A 19,103-nucleotide genomic window follows, 5' to 3' on the forward strand; every position below is an offset into this window, starting at 1 on the left:
AGCCTCCTGAGTGTCTAGGACTATGGACTTGTACCGCCATGCCTGGCTAGTTTTTAAAAGTTGTTTTGTAAAGATAGGGTCTTATGATATTGCCCAGTCTGTTCTTGAACTCCTGGCCTCAAGTGATCCTCCCACCTCAGCCTCCCAAACTGTTGGGATTACAGGTGTGAGCCAACATGGCTGTCTTTTCTCCCCCCATCTTGTGATTTTATATTTTGTTTTTCTTCCCTCAGTCACATTAATGTATATCTTACTGCCTTGGATGACATCTTAATGAGATATTTATACTTTATAAAGATCACAGTGACTATTCTGTTAATCTTACATTTTTAAAAGTGTGAAAATTTTAAGAATAATATCAAATTCTTGAGGCATTATGTGCTTTCTGTTTTTAACATCAGGCAAACATTCAATATCATCAGTACTTGATACCATTAGTATTTGATTCCTACATTATCAAGAGAACAACCCTAAATGAGTCTGATTATAACAAAGTCCAATAAGATCCTAAAATGGTCACATTGGCTTATGGCATCAAAGTGGATATTAGATAAGGTTGCAATCGTTGTATAAATCTCATTTCCTTTCATCTACTTTATCTAACCACACTTAGTGATAAATCCACAAGAACTCCAAAACTAATGCTACACTGTGCCTTCAGTTTCCTAAGATAGCTTTTTACCCTCGTCGGTTTTGAAAGGAAAAATCTGGCCAGGCACAGTGGCTCACGCCTGTAATCCCAGCACTTTGGGAGGCCAAGGCAGGTGGATCATTTGAGGTCAGGAGTTTGAGACCAGCCTGGCCAACATGGTGAAACCCCGTCTGTACTAAAAATACAAAAGTTAGCCAGGCGTGGTGGTGGGTGCCTGTAGTCCCAGCTACTCGGGAGGCTGAGGCTGGAGAATGGCTTGAACCCTGGAGATGGAGGTTTCAGTGAGTCAAAATCATGCCACTGCACTCCAGCCTGGGCAACAGCGAGACTCCATCTCAAAAAGAGAAAAGAAAAGAAAAGAAAAGAAAAGAAAAGAAAAGAAAAGAAAAATCCCCAAAGCTGTGAACCATGACCTGGGTGCTATTAGCAGCGTCCAGAGGAGCCTGCACAGAAGCACAGGAAGAGCACGAACTGATGCTTTGTGGAGATAGCACAGGGCATTGGCGGTCACGGGGCTAGAATTTTGTATGGGAATCACAGCCCATTGGCTTAAAAGGAATCACAGCCCATTGGCTTAAAATCTGATTACAGATGAGGTTTCTGAAGGGCCAGCTTGGCATATCAGTGACTCAGGCAAAAAGCCTCTGAAATCTCTGATGCAGATGATGATGAAGTAACAGTCTGGTGAACATAATACACCATTGGACATAATTGTTCTCCTGCTACCTGCAGAGTTGCCTTTTTTTTTTTTTTTTTGAGACAGAGTCTTGCTCTGTCGCCCAGGCTGGAGTGCAGTGGCGCGATCTCGGCTCACTGCAAGCTCCGCCTCCTGGGTTCACGCCATTCTCCTGCCTCAGCCTTCGGAGCAGCTGGGACTACAGGCGCCCGCCACCACACCCGGCTAATTTTTTGTATTTTTAGTAGAGACAGGGTTTCACCGTGTTAGCCAGGATGGTCTCGATCTCCTGACCTCGTAATCCGCCTGCCTCGGCCTCCCAAAGTGCTGGGATTACAGGCGTGAGCCACGGCACCCGGCCCCAGAGTTGCCTTTTAAATTAATTAGCCTAGTGAGATAGGGTACATTATTTTTTTTCCGTATCCCTCACAGCTCGTAGGATAGTAGTGTCTTCCCTGTGATAGATGCTTAATAAATATTTATTTAAAAAATAGATATAAATAAATACAGGGGTAACTTGACATAAAAGTCCTACTTAAGGACTGCTGTGGGCTAAGTACTATGTTGTCCTGTTCTCTTCTCACTCCAGACTACGTGCTGAAGTCCTTGATCTATAGCCCAAGCAACAGAGAATGGCACACTCTTAGGAGCAAAGCCAGAATTGTTTCCAACATGCAATAATAGTATACCATCTTCGAAAGCACTTCAAAGCAACCAGGAAAGTCAGGACCTGCTACACAGCGAGACAGACAGCGGGCGCTCTCAGCTCAGGTCGGAAATGAATTCTTGGTTGAACAAGTGATGGAAACCAACAAAGCTCCCAAACTGAGGAGAAACCAAGCACGTGGAGACACCGGCAGGTCAGGCCCCAGGGGTGGTTCCCCAGTGTCCCACTGCTGCACTCAGGACCCTGGGGTCATCTAATCTGATCCTGTGCTCTTCCTATACCATGCTTGCAAATGAAAGATGTTTCCTAGCTGAGGGCCAAAGACGTGATGACCAATGCCAAAAGCGGAGCAACCCGGCAGTTTCCTGTGCTTTACAGCAAACCTTATGTCTGCTTATGTCCAGAATCATTCTCAATCTCCTTTCTCCGCCAATATGACTACTGTTACTATTACAAGTACTATCACCATTTATTGAGTGCACACAATGTGCCATACATTGTCCTAAGACCTTATTATGTATTATACAATTTAATCCTTACTATTATTGTCATTCAAATTTTTAATGAGGAAAGAGAGGCACAGAGAAGTCAGTTTATTTGCCCACAGTCATATGGCTACTAAGCAGGAAGGCCAGGATTCAAACCAAGCAGTCAGAATCTAGAACTAAATTCTTAACAACTACACTGTACAAAACATTTTCTTCATGAGGCACAGCAAACAAGAGTACACTAGTATTCCATACAAGTAAGACAATGTATTATATGTAATACTATATGTGTGTATGAACATTTATTACTTAATTACATATAACTAGTATTATATATCATATATTAATACATAATTATTAATTAATGTATATTATGAAGGATTCTCAGGGCAGTCATTCCATTGAAAATAAGACAAGAGGCCGGGCGCACTGGCTCATGCCTGTAATCCCAGAAATTTGGGAGGCCAAGGCAGGCGGATCACCTGAGGCTGGGAGCCTGACCAACATGAGGAAATCCCGTCTCTACTAAAAATACAAAAATTAGCTGGGTGTGGTGGCGGGCACCTGTAATCCCAGCTACTCGGGAGGCTGAGGCAGGAGAATCGCTTGAACCCGGGAGGAGGAGGTTGCGGTGAGCTGAGATGGCACCATTGCACTCCAGCCTGGGCAGCAGGAGCAAAACTCCGTCTCAAAAAAAAAAAAAAAAAAAGAACATAAGACAATGTACACATATATATATACACACACACACACACACACACACACAGACACACACAGTATATAATACTGTCCTCTATGGCAACAATAGTAGATTGGTTTTTCTGTAATAAATTCATAACAAATACTTATATTTCACTCTACAGTTTGAAAGTCCTTTCACCTCATCATCTCACTTAGCCACATAGCAGTCCTGTAAGGGCATAGAACAGGTGGTTGTCTCATATGTACTATAGATGCTGGGCCTAGGCTTATGAGCCTTTCAAGAGGATACAAATGTTTGAGTCTTGAAAAAAGAGTCACTGGCTCTAAACCATGAACAGAAAACTGCAACATGAAAACTAATAAAAATTTAGTTAAATGCCTTTGGACGCTAAATCTCTAACCGGTCTCTGTGGGACAGTGCTGCTTCTGTTCTGTCTTCAGGGATCTGTCTCCACTAACACCTGGGTCCCCTTCTTAAACAGTGTTTCATAGACCAGTGCCTGTCACTGTGGACACACGTGCTAAATTATGTTCATTTACCTGAAGTCCATTGTCATTATCCACAAACACTCCTCCGCTACTCCCTCACCCCATCTCATTAGATTGTGCCTGGAAGCATTGGTACTGCAGGTTGACTATCCCTTATCCAAAATGCTTGAGACCAGACTGTTTTGGATTTCAGATCTTTTTGAATTGGATTGGAATCTTTGCATTATTCTTACTCGTTGAGCATCCCAAATCTGAAAATCCAAAATCCAAAATGATCCAGTGAATACTTCCTTTGGGCATCATTTCAGTGCTCAAAAAGTTTCAGATTTTGGAGCATTTTCGATTTCAGATGTTTGAATTTGGGATGCTTACCTGGCATATGTAAATGTGAGATTTCACTATGCACCATCTCCCTCAGATAGTTTAAACTGCTTTTAGCCCTATCTGGAGATAGGTATACTGAAAAGGAGGGTATTACTGTGGATGACTTCAAGGATTCAATTATTACTCACTCAGTCCTGCATTTGAAACTTTATGACCTTAAGCTAGTACCTTTTCCATGCCTTTTTTGGTTTTCTCCTCTACAAATCAAGGGATAATAAGAGTGGCTACTGAGTTACTGTGAAGTATTAATGAGATAACATACGCCTTGCCTTTGCTTACTATAATTATGAACGTATTATAAAGTGCTCAACAAATGTTAGCTCTTTGTATCATAAGCCTTCATATCTTCTTGATAAGATACATTCTTTGTCCAGAACTTAAAAAGCACACCCCAGAGCTAAGCATTTTAATATACTGCTGGTGGGAGTACAAAAGGTACAGCCCCTTGGGAGGGGGATATGGCAATGTCTAGTCAAACCAGCTACTCTTCGACACTTTCACCCAACAATTCAACCTCTAGGAGTTTATCTGAAGATATGCCTCCCCACATATGAAACAACTAGACTCAAGTTATTCATTGTGGCATTATTTGCTATAGCAAAATATTGGAAATAAACTGCACATCCATAGAAGATTGTGTGAGTGAATTATGGTACAATCACCCAATAGACTACCATGCAACCCTAGCAAAGAAGGAAGAAGATTTTAATAAAATGAATGATTTCCAGAATATACTACAGAATTTTGAAAAGCAAAGAGAGTGTATAATATGCCACCTTTTGTATACGTAGAAACGGGAGGACAGATGAAAGAAAAAGAAAGAAAGAAGAAAGAAGAAAGGAAAGAAAGAAAGAGAGAAAGAAAAAGTAAATCAAAACCAAAGGGGTATTCTCTCTAATATATAACTCCAACAACTCAGTAAGAAAAAGACTAACAGTCATCTAAAAAATGCTGAAGGAGGCCAGGTGCAGTGGCTCACGCCTATAATCCTAGCACTTTGGGAGGCAGAGACGGGCGGATCACGAGGTCAGGAGATCGAGACCATCCTGGCTAACACGGTGAAACCTCGTCTCTACTAAAAATACAAAAAATTAGCCGGGCGTGGTGGCAGGCGCCTGTAGTTCCAGCTACTTGGGAGGCTGAGGCAGGAGAATGGCGTGAACCCGGGAGGCAGAGGTTGCAGTGAGCTGAGATCGCGCCACTGCACTCCAGCCTGGGTGACAGAGCGAGACTCCATCTCAAAAAAAAAAAAAAAAAAAAAAATGCTGAAGGATATGACATGACAGTTCATTGAAAAGGAAATACAAATGACTCAAATATAGGTTCAACATTGCTCATAATAAGAGTATTACAAATGGAAAACCCAAAAGTTTGATGAAAGAGTACGTTGATGAAACTGTGGAGAAACAGGCGCTTTCAACAGTGCTGGTGGCACTCCTAGTGGTGTCCACTGGGAAAGCCTACGGAGGGTAATTTGGCAGACTTTTGCCAATGAAAAAAGCATGCATGCTTTCTGATAGATATAATTAGTGCTCACCCATATTGTACTCTCTTCTCCTACCAGAAACACACACAAAAACTGTACTTCTTGGCCTTCCTGAAGTTTGGCAGGGCCATGTGACTAGTTCTAGCCAATAAAATATAAGTGGAAATAATGTTTGTCACTTTTGGTTCAAGGTTGTCTCTCCCCTGCGGCAATGACTGTGAAGGCTGTGGGTTCCAGATGGTGCAGGCACAAGACCCAAGCCTGGGTCTCTGAGAGACTGTGTGGAGCAGGAATCTCCTGCAAAACGAACATCACAGGACATGTACTAGGGGTTGGAATATTTTTGGTATGTTTATTGACAGATTTGAGAGTTGTTTGTTATTGTAGCAAAACGTAACCTCATTAATACAATCTTTGACCTCGTAACTCCACTTCAGGGATTTATCCTGAAGACATATTAGGACAAAATTATATGTTTACAATACTATTTTATTTTATTTATTTATTTATTTATTTATTGAGATGGAGTTTTGCTCTTGTTGCCCAGGCTGGAGTGTAATGGCGCGATCTTGGCTCACTGCAACCTCCGCCTCCCGGGTTCAAGTGATTCTCCTGCCTCAGCCTCCTGAATAGCTGGGATTACAGGCGCTCACCACCATTCCCGGCTAATTTTTTTATATATTTAGTAGAGATGAGGTTGCACCATGTCGGCCAGGCTGGTCTCGAACTCCTGACCTCAGATGATCCACCCGCCTCGGCCTCCCAAAGTGCTGGGATTACAGGCGTGAGCCACTGCGGCCAGCCTATTATTTATTTATTAAAGCACTGTATGAGAAAGCTAAATATTGGGACTAATTAAATGTGTGGCAAAGAAGAAACTGGTTATGTAAATTGTAATATATCCATATAGTAGAATACTATGTAGCTGCAAAACATAACTAGAAAGTTCTCTATGGAAATATGGAAATATTACTAAGACATATTGTTAAGTGAAAAAAGCAAGCTGTACAATAGTGTACATAGTGTACTATCCTTTGGGTAAAAAAGGGGAAAACACATACTCATAATGTTTAAATATGCAAAAAGCATACATCTATGTAGAAAAAAGAAAATTGGTCATGGTAGGTTACCTGTTAAGGGGAATGGGAACTGTGTATTGAGTCAATGCATTTTTCCCTCGTATTTTAATTTTTTTGTTTTTCTTTTTTGAGACAGGGTCTCACTCTATAGCCCAGGCTGGAGTGCAGTGGAGGAATCACAGCTCACTGCAGCCTCGACTTCCCAGGTGAGAGGATCACCTGAGCCTCCCGAGTAGCTGGGACTACAGGTGCATACCACCACACCTGGCTAATTTTTGTATTTCTTGTAGAGACAGGGTTTCACATGTGGTCCAGGCTGCCATATTTCAATTGTTGAGCTATGTGAATATATATATATTTTTTTAATACAGAAAATGAAAATAAATAAATAAATAACATCCTTTTCTGGCTATGTATTGCCTGTAGGAACTTTGAAAATGTATTTCCAACCAGCATTCCCAACTTCATGCCTGGATGTTTTCCCTTGTGGGCATGGAGCTGCAGTCACATCTGACTCCTGGAGGGCTAGGCGTTTTTCATCCTTCTGTCTGTGTGCAGGCTTAGGTCTCCCTCAATGAGCCCTCCCCTTCCTGTTTGCCTCTGCATAGCTTGCAAAACCTAGACATGTGCACTGGGGCATCCTTCTGATCTACCCAGGCAGAGTTCCTAGGCTGACTTCTATGTTCACATAATTCCTTTTATATATTCCTGCCATTGCATTCATTATATTAAGTCATAATGGCCTGTTCACACGTATGCTGCCTTCTCTAGATAGAAGAACCATGTCTGGCTCATCTTTCCATCTTTCTGTCCCCATGGCCTGGGATAGGGCATGAAATAGTAGTAAGGGCATTTATTAACTTTATTCATGAGTTTTGTCATAAACAGATTAATAAGCATGAAGCAATAGAGTATAATATGTCATGTTTGGAAACAGTCTTTCTGTGCTTCCTGCCACAGACCTCAGCAGCCTGAATCCTTTACATCATCGTGCCTTACAAATACTCTATATGAGACTGGTATGCCCTAAATCATTTGACGGTGGTAGTTTTCAAACGTCTTATTTTTAATGTGATGAGTATTCACTCAACTAATGCTACTCCAAAACAATATTTTTAAAAAAGGAGGCCAGGTGTGGTGGCTCATGCCTGTAATCCCAGCAGTTTAGGAGGCTAAGGCTGGAAGATAGCTTGAACCCAGGAGTTTGAGACCAGCCTGGGCAATATAATGAGACCTCATCTCTACAAAAATAAAAAGTTAGCCGAGCGTGATGGCACACACCTGTGATCCCAGCTACTCGGGAGGCTGAGATGGAGGATCACTTAAGCCCAGGAGGTCAAGGCTACAGTGAGCTGAGATTGTATCACTGCGCTCTAGCCTGGGCAAGATCCTGTTTCCAAAAAAAGAAAAAGAAAAAGATAGGAAAAGAAAACAAATAAAACCCTCCATACTTAAACCAAAACCATAATCAGATAAAGAAAAGGAAACAGTTGTGTAGAGAATTCTAATCATTTTTCTTGAGTGGTTTTGATTGCATCAAGCTCATTAGTTAGATTGCCATTAGATTACATGTAATAAAATAATATTTAATTTAGTAAAAAACAAATTCATGTTATTTAGACACATGATCATTGCTCTTTAAAAAATATTGTAACAGCCGGGCACGGTGGCTCATGCCTGTAATCCCAGCACTGTGGGAGGCCGAGGCGGGCAGATCACGAGGTCAGGAGATTGAGACCATCCTGGCTAACACGGTGAAACCTCGTCTCTACTAAAAAATACAAAAAATTAGCCGGGCGTGGTGGTGGGCGCCTGTAGTCCCAGCTACTCGGGAGGCTGAAGCAGGAGAATGGCTTGAACCCGGGAGGCGGAGCTTGCAGTGAGCCAAGATCGAACTACTGCACTTCAGCCTGGGCAACAGGGCGAGACTCCATCTCAAAATAAATAAATAAATAAATAAAATATATCTATTGTAACATCACCGGGTGCGGTGGCTCACGCCTGTAATCTCAGCACTTTGAGAGGCTGAGGTGGGTGGATCATCTGAGGTCAGGAGTTCCAGACCAGCCTGACCAACACGGTGAAACCCTGTTTCTACTAAATACAAAAAATTAGCCAGGCATAGGTATGGTGGCTTATGGCGGTAATCCCAGCTACTAGGGAGGCTGAGTCAGGAGAATCGCTTGAACCTGGGAGGCGCAGGTTGGAGTGAGCTGAGATTGTGCCATTGCACTCCAGCCTGGGCAACAAGAGTGAAAATCCATCTCAAAATAAATAAATAAATAAATAAAAATATACATGTCTATATATATAATAACATCAAGCAAAAGTAGCAGCATATGAATTTTTTATAATTTAATTTTTGAGCCCATAAAAACAAAAACGATAACAAAACTATAAATAAATATCTAAAATATATTGAATGCCTACATGCTAAACAGTTTACTAGGTACTTCAACATTATCTGATTTTATTTAAGCTCCTTTTTTTTTTTTTTAAACCGAGACTTGCTCTGTCACCCAGGCTGAAGTGTAATGGCACGATCTTGGCTCACTGCAACCTCCGCTTCTGGGGTTCAAGCGATTCTCCTGCCTTAGCCTCCCGAGTACCTGGGACTACAGGTGTGTGCCACCACGCCTGGCTAATTTTTGTATTTTTAGTAGAGATGGGGTTTCACCATGTTGACCAGGCTGGTCTCAAACTCCTGACCTCAGGTGATGGCCCTCCTTGGCCTCTCAAAGTGCTGGGATTACAGGTGTGAGCCACCACGCCCGGTCTATTTAAGCTTCTTAATCAACTGGAGTGCTAAGTAGCATTACCCCATTTTACAGATGAGGAAAGTGTGGTACAGACGGAGTAACTTGCTCCAGATTACAACACAGCCAGGAAGTTATGGCTACGAAGTTTGAACCTAGGACTGTCCTATATACTGTTCTATACTTTCTTCCAATATGTGTTCCAAACACAATTTTAGGAGTTCATATTTAAGGAGGGCATGTATAAAATCAACAATGGGATATAGAAGGCTAAAAAGGAAATTAAATTTGCTTCTCTATCTCTTAACAGGTGCATGTTTAAGAAACACTGTACTCAGCAGAAGTGTACCAGGTTTCCTTCTGCCTTCACTTAAGCACACATGTCGGTTAAAGCTAGGAAATAGCTGAAAATCTGTATTTTCAAAACATTTCACATCCTTAAGGCTTCTGGACTGGCATCTAATTTTGCATTTTGTTGAAACATTGCTAGAAAAATCCTTTGGCCTTCTTCTCAGTGAAACCAAACAAAACCCATAACGTATGCTCTTTCAACTTAAAGCATCAATGGATTCAACAAAACCGTTGTATATACAGCTGTGGCAATATTTACGCATGTAAAGCATCTTAGTTGAATACCAAATTCAAACAAAATCAATACAAAATGGATTTTACAGTTAATTTTAATGGGTGTGATGTATCGTTTAAGAGGGTGTGATTTCCGGGTTCATAACATCAAGTGATTTCAGCAGTTGTCTACATTATGGTGTGTTCCAAAATTAATAGTAAGGTCAGACTATAGTTTTAGACTGAAAATATCAAGGCCATTTTCTAAATTCGGGCTTGAAATACTAGAAGTGGCTTTGATATTACTATTGAATTGGCTTCAAAGACTGCTAATTAGACCATTGTCTTTAAGAACTGCCTTCTTATGCAATGTAATAGAGTTGCTTGTTCTTTAAGAGTAAGAGTTTTGTTTACATTGAAAACTTTCACTAGACTGCCAAAATAACAAAAACAAATACACAGACATTGAAACTTATACTCTTGAAAAACAAAAAGAAAAGAGGGAAAATAAATCAGTGACAAGTGGCAGATTATCGTTTGCAGCTTGCCTTTGATTTGTAAATGCCTACTTCCTGCCCCAGGGAGGAGGGTGAAGGGTAGGTTATGGTGCTTGGGATGCACACTGTCTTCTGGGTTATGCTAATTTGTTGTTAAGTGCTCAAGGCCGCTTATTCAGCACAGATTTGATTAGTTTTTGGCTATACAGTTCAAAGATTTATGAAAAGTTCCTCTCTGGATAGCTGTGGTTGTATTTACTTTGGTTCTCCTTATTCAAAAACTTTCATATCGTTGATGAGTGGTGACAAATGGCTTGCTCAGGAACACTGTGCCAGTATAAACTCTTTTGTAATAAAACACAATTAATATTGATGAAATCAGTCTTCAGTCAGCACTTGTTTGTTGCCTGAAAACCTTTCCTCTCCTCCCCACCTTCCAGGACTCAAAAAACAGACTGGGGGACAATCTCATCTGAATCGAACACTCCAAACTGGGGCTGTGACTTGCCCCTGGCAGATGCCACAGGTCCCAGAAAGGTGATCAGAGAGCTCTATCCAACACGAGGAGTCGCTTCCCTCTAAGGACTCTCAAAGGGGAGAAGCAAGGATTTATAAACTGGCTCTGTTTGTGGCTTTGCCGAAAATGAAACTCTCAGCAGTGTGCTACACCATGATTCTAGTAGAAATGATCATTAGACACTGGAAAGAGGAAAGCGGGAAGGAGAGCACCTACTGCCTTCCGTACACTGTGTTAAGGCTTTCTCTCTAGCATCTAGTTTAGTCTCTGCAACTGCCCCAAGAGAAGTCTTTATTTTATTGGCTAGGACACTGAGGCAAATAGCGGCTCCTTGCCAGACCCTTCCAGCCACTGGTTGGCTTTCTGTTGCCTAGGGTCCCCCTTAAACTTTCTTCTACACTGTGCAGAAATAGAAAAGGGCAGTTGGAAAAGAGGAGGAGGGAGAGGGAAACAAAGAGGGGAAAAGATAAACTTAAAAAAAAAAGTAAAAAGATAAATGTGAGAGAGCTCTGAGATGAGGTCAATGGTTGGTCATTTGAGGTCAACTTTATCTGAGGTGAGGGTAATCACAAGATGACAAATGGCTAACCCTTGGAAATTTCTTTCCACACATCTTCCAGTTTCTGGGTCACGTGGCTCCACCTCTGCCATTTCAGGAGGGTCCTCGTCTTAGGAAGCTATTTGGGAAACTCTCAATGCTCCCAGAGACATTACTGTTTTTTGTTTTTTTATTTTTTTTGGAAACAGGATCTTGCTCTGTCACCCAGGCTGGAATGCAGTTGCACAATCTCGGCTCACCGCAACCTCCACCTCCTGGATTCAAGCGATTCTCCCGCTCATCCTCCTGAGTAGCTGGGACTACAGGCACCTGCCATCATGCCTGGCTAATTTTTTGTATTTTTAGTAGAGACAGAGTTTCACCATGTTGGCCATGCTGATCTTGAACTCCTGACCTCAAGTGATGCTCCTGCTTCAGCCTCCCAAAGTGCTGGGATTACAGTTGTGAGTCACCGTGCCTGGTTGAAACATTTATATTTCATAGGAATATTTTGGCTGGATGCAGAGGCTAAGGCAGGAGGACAGCTTGAGGCCAGCAGTTCAACACTACCCTGGGCAACATAGAGAGACCCTGTCTCTACAAAAGAAAGAAAGAAAAAAGAAACGTTTAGCCAAAAGTATAATGACAAGTAAAGATACATCTGAGAAGAGAACATTCGTTTGTTTAGTGTGGTGCTCCAGCCTCCACGTCATTTTTATAAACAGGATGTCTGGGTTTCTTTGCAGAAACAAGTTTCTTGAGTTTTGTTCTCAGTTTCTATAATATTCCATTTAGTATTCCTGACACACTGCCACCTACCACGCTGGTGGAAGGAAGGAAGGAACTCCTTCTGGGAGATAGCTCTATCCTATCTCTGTCAGTTATCTGACTAACATTTTGATTTCCGGTAGTAAAAATGTTGAAACTGGCCAGGCATGGCTGCTCACGCCTGTAATCCCAGCACTTTGGGAGGCCAAGGTGGGCGGATCATGAGGTCAGGAGTTGGAGACCATCCTGGCCAACATGGTGAAACCCTGTCTCTATTAAAATACAAAAATTAGCTGGGTGTGGTCATGCGTGCCTGGAATCCCAGCTATTCGGGAGGCTGAGGCAGGACAATTGCTTGAACCAGGGAGTTGGATGTTGCAGTGAGCCGAGATCACACCACTGCACTCCAGCCTGGCGACAGAGCCAGACTCTGTCTCAAAAAAACAAAGTTGGCTGGGCACGGTGGCTCACGCCTGGAATCCCAGCACTTTGGGAGGCTGAGGTGGGCGGATCATGAGGTCAGGAGATCGAGACCATCCTGGCCAACATGGTGAAACCCCCTCTCTACTAAAAATACAAAAATTAGCTGGGCATGGTGGCAGGCGCCTGTAATCCCGGCTACTTGGGAGGCTGAGGCAGGAGAATCGCTTGAACCCAGGAGGTGGAGGTTGCAGGGAGCCGACAATGTGCCGCTGCACTCTAGCCTGGCGATAGAGCAAGACTCTGCCTAAAAAACAAAAACAAACAAACAAACAAAAAGTTGAAACTTCATTCTCAGTTTACTACTGGTGGTAAATCCATCAGCATCTGTTTATTAAAGGATTTACCACAGTCTACCTTGACACGCTGAGCACATGGCTTTGCTCTAAAAATAGAAAGATTCAGCTGGGCAAGGTGGCTCATGCCTGTAATTCCAGCACTTTGGGAGGCCAAGGCGGTCAGATCACTTGAGGCCAGGAGTTTGAGACCAGCCTGGCCAACAAGGCGAACCCCCGTCTCCACTAAAAATACAAAAATTAAGCCGGGTGCAGTGGTTCACGCCTGTAATCCCAGCACTTTGGGAGGCCGAGTGCAGTGGCTCACGCCTGTAATCCCAGCACTTTGGGAGGCCGAGGTGGGTGGATCTCTTGAGGTCAGGAGTTCGAGACCAGCCTGGCTAACATGGTGAAACCCTGTCTCTACTATAAATACAAAATAGCCGGGCGTGGTGGCGGGCACCTGTAATCCCAGCTACTCGGGAGGCTGAGGCAGGAGAATCACTTGAGCCCAGGAGGCGGAGGTTGCAGCGAGCCGAGATCACGCCACTGCGCTCCAGCCTGGGAGACAGAGCAAGACTGTCTCAAACACAACAACAACAACAACAACAACAAAAAACAAAAAGCAAAAGTTAGCCGGGCGTGGTGGCGCGCGCCTGTAGTTCCAGCTACTCAGGGGGCTGAGGCACGAGAATTGCTTGAACCTGGGAGGTGGAGGTTGCTGTGAGCCGAGATCACAACACTGCACTCCAGCCTGGGCGACAGAGCGAGACTCTGTATCAAAAAAAAAAAAAAAAAGAAAAGAAAGAAAGACACAATGACAAAGGCAGAGTTCACCTACAGAGGGAATGACATCAATACATTAGGAATATTTTTAATACATTAAATCCCTTTGGGGTGTTTTTGGACACCTGGCTTGTCATACTATGAACAACAGAATTTCCTTAAAAAGTTTTTATTTTAGAGACAGGGTCTCGCTCTGTTGACCAGGCTGGAGTGCAGTGGCGCAGTCATAGCTCACTGTAGCCTCAAACTCTTGAGCTCAACTGGTCCTGCCACTTCAGACTCCCAAGTAGCTAGGACTACAGGTGTATGCCACCACAACCAGCTAACTTTTACAAAATATTTTTTGTAGAGATGAGGGGGACTCGCTCTGTGGCTCACGGCCGTCTTGAACTTTGAATACCTGGCCTCAAGCTATTTTCCTGCCTCGCCCTCCCAGAGTGCTGGGATTACAGGTGTGAACCACCGCACCCAGCCCTCATTTATTTGATTTCTTCAGAGAGGCTCATCTGTTCCTATATTTAGAAATGTGGAACTTTTCCAAAGAAGACAACCTTCATTTTTTTCATACGGGCTTTCAAAAGAATGTGATGTCCTTTTGGTGTTTTAGATTCTCACCTATGAGGTATAAACAAATCGCCTTGCAGACAAGTCTCAACACAGAACACATGCTGCTTATCACTGGCAAAGACTTGCATCAGCCTGCCACCACGGCTGGCTCATCTTGTCCCTCCAGGCCTGTGCCTGCTGGAACACTCCCACTCCCCATGTCTGAATACACCACTTCGGTTGGACCAAGAGTTTCCAGCTCGGGTGGCCCCTCCTTCCCTGGAAATAAATAGCTGCCTATAGAATATCAGAGTCATTCTGACTCAGGGGTGACTCAGCTCTTCCATGACCTGTGTTCCCACTTCTCCTTGATAAGGCCAATGTTTTGGCCCTACTGGTGAAAATATGTAGACCTAACATCTATCTCCCTGCTCCAGTTTCAAGAGAAAAGACCTTATTCAGAGAAATATTTAGAAGACTCTTGTGGAATTCTTGCTGTGAGTGGTTTTTCCTTCCCTGCCATTGGTGCGACTGTTTCCCCCTTCCGTCAAATTGCTGTCTAGATGTTTCTCTCTGACCCCAATTTTCTCGGAGTTTGGGATTATCAATCTAAAATCAGAGGTGAGAATTCATCAGTGTTATCGATAAGACTTTGCAATTATTTCTTTCAAACTGAACTTTTTCCCTATTCACTTATTTTTCCTCATTGCAAAATAATCAAAGCATTGATGAGTGTTTCTGTTTAAATTCAAAGGACATTCCACCTTTAACCTTAGCATTCATGAGACACAAAATGGGTTTTTCTTTTTGCTGATTTAAAAAGCTGCTATGAAGCTGCACAGTGCGGAAGAGGGCACCCCTGCTCCAGAAAAGAAGAAACAAAACTGCCTGCCATAGACACTTGGTAGGGAGTGGCAAATGGAATCTTGGTTTGTTTTTCTCTTAGGACTTTGACAATTATTTTTCCTTGAAAAGAATAAGAGAATCTACCTAAAATATTAATACTAGTTTCAGAGCTCTAGGATAATATAGAGCAGAGTCTCTTTTTTTTAAAAAAGGAAAGCGGTTTCATTTCTGACAGTGGATTTCTTCCACTGATGTGCACACTCTTTGACATGAAAAGCTGCACGAAGCTGCCTTGAATTCATTCTGCAGATGGAAAGTTGCAAGTACGGTAATTAGCTAAGCAGTGGCAAGGCCGACCATCTGAGGTTTGATTTCTCATCAAGAGATAGTGTCCGACACACGTGCCACTGAGCATGCTTGTAAGAGTTCCACGTTTCAGATGCACTGAGAATGCATGCATGGAACACACGTCCCCCCAGCCCAACAACCGCACTCCCAAATTGCCCCTGCACACATATATTCTAACACGGTTACAACACAGCATGCTCCCGAGCCTCAGACAATAAGCTGCCCAAAAAGATGCTCAAGCAACAGTCGCAGTGGGCCTGACTTCTGGTATCCGCAGCCACTCCAGAGAACTTCCTGTGAGCCCCAGGGACTCAGAGGAGGCTGAGTGATGAGGAAGGTGGCCAGAGGCTGCCGGACTAGCCCCAAGCAGTCACTCTGCTTCCTGCCTTTGTTTTCCCTCAAACTCTCATCTTTCTGGAGAAAACAAAACCCTGTCCTGGGGGTGTAGACCAGCCATGACACCCACTAATAACCTCTAGCAAAACAATAGTTTTAAAATTACTTAATGCTCTCTTGACTTTCTGACTTTTAAAATGAAAATTGTATTTTGTCACTGTATCCTTTTGTTGGCAAGTGGAATACTGCACTCAAACCAAGCAGGCAATGTAAAACTATGACTTCAAAGCCATTCCTTGATAAAACATCAAAACGGCCCAGAGTGAACCAACTGTTATCTGTAATTCAACAGATAATTAACTGAAACTCAGTGCTCAAATTGCTACTGGGAGTTTCTGCAGCCAAGGTCATTCTCATGGTGCTGCTTGATTTTGTTTCTGTGTCTCTTATATCGTTTTAGGCAGGGAGGAACTTGGATTGTCCTTCAGTAAAATTCCACTTTGATGCGCAAAGCGAACTTGAATTTCTGCTTGGCCTACCACAGGCCTGCAACATGCACTTTCTCCTCGAGGTGAGAAGGTCTTTTTCTCTCCACTCTGAAACACCGCTGCCTGCACCTTTTGCTGAGTTTAGAGTAGCATCATACTTTCTGCCACGAATGCCACAAATACTGCCTTTTCAACTTGGTTTTGTAAAATGTAATGGTACTAAATCCGCCAAAGGGATAAAGCACCCTTACTTTGGATTTGCCAGTCCCATGGGTACATAACTGACCTACTACTCTCCCACCTCCCAACCTTGAAACTCCAGCCCCCTGAACGGCCTCACCACTCCAACCCCCACTGCAATTTCCCACTCCCCACCTCCATGCATTGCCCATTCACCAAGCCAGCCACATCTCCCTTTAAGTTGAAAACTCACCCGAAAGCCCACTACCTCTTCCATGCAGCCTCCCCTGATTAAGTGAGGATGAAGAAACCTCCAAAGCATGGCCGACAAACTCCCAATAAACGAGAACACACACCCCCCCAAAACAAACACAGAAACTCACAAAAGAAGAAAATGACACATTCTCTACTTTTGATTTGTGAAACTCCTATGGGGCTAAGGAGATCAATTTTATACCAATAAATCATTTCAGAAAATGAAGTCATTTTAATATTCTTGGGGTTACTCAGCAAAACACTTTGCTTGGACGTCTCTTTTGTACTTTCCTTAAATTCTTCTTCCTTTTCTTCTCGGCTTTTTGAACGTATGACTGAAGGGAACTGCCACTCACTGACACGGACAACAGTAAAGGAACTTGGTCTTCACTATGCCTCATAGTGGTGGGTCACACTGCCCAGGAGGAACCCGCAATGAGACCGGCAAATGCCTTAACCATCTCATTGTCTCATCAGGAAGAAGCTTAAATGACTCTTCTTGCTCACATACTTCCTGGGCAAACATGTCTGCTCTGTTGGGATAAAGGACGCTCTAGACCAGGCTCTGCTGAAAGATCCAGGGCAAAGGTTCCTGACAAGACTATGTCCAGCCTCAAATAAGGCCACAGAAGAGCCCAGGCTCGCTGACGAGCACCGGCTCCGAGGCAGTCACATCAGGAGACAGAAACAGACATGTTGGTGCTGCCCTCTCAGGTCAGTGCAAATGCCACTTGAGGAGGGCTGAGAGCTTTGCAGCATAAAATGACCAGAACAAGGAGAAACACAGATGCAATGGCAATAGCTGGCAATTCGCACATGGCGTCAAACACCACTGCCACAGAAGCTTTTTAGCTACAAGCCACGCTATGCAACCTTTAAGCAAAACATTATTGATTTTGTGGTTGTAAAAACATACCTTCAACTGCAGAACTCAGTTTTATGACACCTTGAATAAAAACAAAAAGTGGCAGTTATATAATGGACCCAAATCGCCTTTTCCAGGCTTCTCATAACACACGCATGCTTCAGATTTGGATTTTTCTTTTTCTGCTGGCATTGCAAGAACGTAACTAAACAAATATCAACTTCAAAAATAAAATAATTTTTAGTCTTAACTAGGTCTCATGGATGTCTTCTTTTCCCCCACTAAAACCATTTGGGGAAATTTTTCACTAAAAATGGGATCAAACATGTTTTTGGATGGGACAAAGGCCAAGTCTGCCTGAGTGACTATTTCTGTGTATAAATTATACCAGATTATGGATCAATAAAAGTTCACACAATAGGATGCTAGGGACCAGCACTTCCTCTTTGATACTGTATCTAGAGATCATCTGATGCATGTTAGGACAGAGTTTCTGTTGAAACATGTAACAGGTGGTTAAAAACCATGGTGTGATCTGGTAACTTTCTTCTCTGGGGTGGTTGGGCCAGAGCCCTTTTCTTGGTCTGATGGGTTTAGATTTCAGCTCCCTCAAGTCAGAGAGTGAACGGGTTATCTGAGCAAGTCAAGTTGTTCATGAAGCAAGTCAGTACCCTTGACTGATATTTATGCACCTTTGCAGTGAATTTTTTTTTTTTTTGAGACAGAGTCTCGCTCTGTCACCCAGGCTGGAGTGCAGTGGCGCAATCTCGGATCTTGGATCTCGGCTCACTGCAACCTCTGCCTCCTGGGTGGACGCCATTCTCCTGCCTCAGCCTCCCGAGTGGCTGGGACTACAGGCGCCCGCCAGCACGCCCGGCTAATTTTTTGTATTTTTAGTAGAAACATGGTTTCACTGTATTAGTCAGGATGGTCTCGATCTCCTGACCTTGTGATCCGCCCGCCTCAGCCTCCCAAAGTGCTGGGATTACAGGCGTGAGCCACCACATTTGGCTTTTCGGTGAATTTAAAGGTGAAAATACCAAACTAAGATAAATTAGACCTGATAACAATCATTTGATTTAAAGAGCACTTTTTATAAGTCATAGTTAAAAATAAATAATATTATCTAATCTTACGCAATAGTCATGATCATTTAGGCTGAACAAAAATGTCTGCAGTTTCATTCGGTTGAAGTCCTGGTTCTCTTTCAAACTGGAGGAGTTTGCAAACAAAATTCTTTTCAATACTGGTAAATCAAATTGGTATCTGTATGAACATACACTGATTTTTAACAGATTATGTTCACATTGCTCTTCCTTATGACTTTCTGGAAAAGCTGCTTTTAAGTTTGTTTCCTATTGAATTTCATCTTTCCTGCATAACCAATGGTGTCTGGTCCAACGTTGAGTAAGAAACACTATAGGGGAGGAAGTAT

General features: G+C 43.0%; 1 protein-coding gene and 1 long non-coding RNA gene across 35 annotated transcripts in view, besides 2 other annotated features; one reads left to right on the forward strand and one right to left on the reverse strand.

Moving 5' to 3' along the window:
* DLGAP1 (DLG associated protein 1) overlaps nucleotides 1–19,103 on the reverse strand; it is a 959,276-nt gene that overhangs the window by 142,333 nt on the left and 797,840 nt on the right. For 15 of the 33 annotated variants that reach the window (NM_001398526.1, NM_001398525.1, XM_024451288.2 and 12 more), the window contains one exon: nucleotides 17,720–17,749. The exons of the other annotated variants lie outside the window; for them this stretch is intronic. In NM_001398526.1, the coding sequence (NP_001385455.1) occupies nucleotides 17,720–17,749 (30 nt within the window). The remainder of the gene's footprint in view (nucleotides 1–17,719; nucleotides 17,750–19,103) is intronic. 33 annotated transcript variants of the gene reach the window in all.
* Nucleotides 14,220–15,419: an enhancer, noted in NCBI's record as "MED14-independent group 3 enhancer chr18:3652584-3653783 (GRCh37/hg19 assembly coordinates)". NCBI's record gives its function as "activates an origin of replication core promoter dependent on BRD2, BRD4, P300/CBP and CDK7 cofactors, and independent of MED14, by STARR-seq in HCT116 cells {active_cell/tissue: HCT116}" and the evidence as "EXISTENCE:reporter gene assay evidence [ECO:0000049][PMID:35650434]".
* Nucleotides 14,465–14,759: an enhancer, noted in NCBI's record as "tiled region #10669; HepG2 Activating DNase matched - State 5:Enh, and K562 Activating DNase unmatched - State 5:Enh". NCBI's record gives its function as "activates a minimal TATA promoter and a strong SV40 promoter by Sharpr-MPRA in HepG2 and K562 cells {active_cell/tissue: HepG2 | K562}" and the evidence as "EXISTENCE:reporter gene assay evidence [ECO:0000049][PMID:27701403]".
* Nucleotides 14,666–17,918, forward strand: DLGAP1-AS6 (DLGAP1 antisense RNA 6). 2 transcript variants are annotated; one of them, NR_188002.1, is made up of 3 exons: nucleotides 14,666–14,847; nucleotides 16,341–16,451; nucleotides 17,145–17,918. It is a non-coding gene; the product is annotated as a DLGAP1 antisense RNA 6 (long non-coding RNA). The 2 variants fall into 2 exon arrangements; NR_188003.1 differs by having other exon boundaries at nucleotides 14,750–14,971.

This window comes from Homo sapiens, chromosome 18, assembly GCF_000001405.40.
Source record: "Homo sapiens chromosome 18, GRCh38.p14 Primary Assembly".
Taxonomy (NCBI): Eukaryota; Metazoa; Chordata; class Mammalia; order Primates; family Hominidae; genus Homo; species Homo sapiens.